The 2,116-nt window shown below is 39.4% G+C and overlaps 1 long non-coding RNA gene across 1 annotated transcript; it reads right to left on the bottom strand.

Moving 5' to 3' along the window:
- Nucleotides 1-655: 655 nt before the first annotated feature.
- Nucleotides 656-1,822, bottom strand: LOC101929411 (uncharacterized). The gene is made up of 2 exons (NR_135549.1): nucleotides 1,552-1,822; nucleotides 656-853 (listed from the first exon to the last, which is right to left on the bottom strand). It is a non-coding gene; the product is annotated as an uncharacterized LOC101929411 (long non-coding RNA).
- Nucleotides 1,823-2,116: the final 294 nt, after the last annotated feature.

Genomic DNA, 2,116 nt, shown 5'->3' with positions numbered 1-2,116 from the left:
AATCTTGAAGTGGTGGCATTTGGATTTTCACATGGCATGAAATGAAGATTTGACAAAATTCTACATCTAGAGTAACCATCTGACTCAGCAATGACACCTATGTACTGCCACATTAATTAGGAGAACCTTCCAAATATGTCAAAGGGGATGCTGTCTCCTCCAGAACAAAAACAAAAAGATTTCTCTGGCTTCAGTTGTGTTTAGAGATTTTTTTTTTTTTTTTTTTTTTTTTTTTTTGAGACGGAGTCTCGCTCTGTCATCCAGGCTGGAGGGCAGTGGCGCGATCTCGGCTCACTGCAAGCTCCGCCTCCCTGGTTCACGCCATTCTCCTGCCTCAGCCTCCCAAGTAGCTGGGACTACAGGCGCCCGCCACCACGCCTGCTAATTTTTTGTATTTTTAGTAGAGACGGGGTTTCACCGTGTTAGCCAGGATGGTCTCGATATCCTGACCTGTGATCCGCCCGCCTTGGCCTTCCAAAGTGCTGAGATTACAGGCGTGAGCCACCGGGCCGGGCCTAGAGATTATTTTTATTCTCCTCTAGGTTCTGTGGCCACTAACAACTAGCTAGTGGTTTTGGGAAATTTTCTGGTGCCAGTTTATTAATACTTTCTAAATAGTGAAGCCTTGATTAAAACAACTTTAAAAATACTTTTATTATTCATGTTCCACCAGGAAGCAAAATTTTATTTTTATGTCAATATGTGCCACTAGCATTAAAAGAAAGATTGTTGAGTTGGTTTGATTGATTGATTATTCCAAAGGGTGGTAATACTTCTGCGAGCAGTGGGAAGTATGTCCTGTGGATCCACCCTAATGAGGTTCTGTGAATGTGACTGTGACCCTTGCCTTGCTCTGCAATGGAGAAAAATAATCATTATTCAGAAAGAAAAAATAACAAAACTTGCAATTGTATATTATGAAAAGTAATTGCAGCCTTTCTTGAACATTAAACAAAGGATACCCTTTTTAACACTTTTGAGTCAATGTTTTCTTTTCCTTCATAGGACAGCATGCATATGAGTAAAATAAGATCATGTAGGACATGGCAAATCTAATTAATATGGCTATACTCTCATCCGTCTATTTAATCTGTACAGCTATTTCATAATATAGGTTAATTTGCTAAATATAATATAACCTGTAATTTGTAAATCTATTGCCTAGAAATGAAAAGTGGTACCATATAAAGTGTGAATTAAGCAAAATGTATCTTTAATTCTATTCCACATTGCCTATCTATGATTTTCCCCCACCCCCCATCCCCATATCCTTCATCTAGACCTGTACTATCCAATAATGGAGCCATTAGCCACATTTGGCTATTGACATTTTAATTTATATTAATTAAAATTAAATAAAATTTAAAGTTCCAGTTCCTCAGTCACACCAGCCACATTTCAAGTCCTCTATAGTCACATGTGGCTAATAACTACTATATTGAACAGCCCAGCTATAGAACATTTTCATCATTGCAGGAAGTGCTAATGGACAGAGTTGCTCCAGACTCTGAGTCCTTCTGCTATCCCGTCTCTGGCCAGGATTCTACCTACCCTGGGCACGCCTTCCCAAGTGTCTTCAGATTTTTCTTCCTTCCACTAATCTTACCCTCATAACTTCCCTGAGCCTTCTCACGACGTCCCATAAAAAGCACAATTTTGTAATTCCTTCCTTGAGGACCTTTCTCTCAACTTAAATGACTTGATAAACTGGTTCATGCTTAGGCAATTTGTGAATGCTCAGAGTTCATGTGTTCTCTCTCCAAAATAACACATTGGTATTTTAGCTGAAAGCTTCTGGAGACATTATGCATTTACAGAAAGGGTTAACTCTCAAAGTGGTGGCTTTAGGCACCATGGTAGCCTAGAACCTTGGTGAACAAACCTTAGAATGCAAGTGCCTTTAGAGCACCTTTCAAATTACATTATCCTGGTGGCCTGTTCACCCACATTGGCCTTGGGCCACTATGCTGATTTGTCTCCTAGGAATGCCAGAATACCCCTCATTGTTACCACAGAGGCATAATATTTATGCATCTGACATGACGTTTATGAATAGTAGGTCAAAAGAAATATGTTTGTTTTTCTTGTAACTGTGAAAGTTGTTAGAGTTCAGGAT

This window comes from Homo sapiens, chromosome 3, assembly GCF_000001405.40.
Source record: "Homo sapiens chromosome 3, GRCh38.p14 Primary Assembly".
NCBI classification, from domain to species: domain Eukaryota; kingdom Metazoa; phylum Chordata; class Mammalia; order Primates; family Hominidae; genus Homo; species Homo sapiens.
This window is presented reverse-complemented; position numbering and strand designations above follow the sequence as displayed.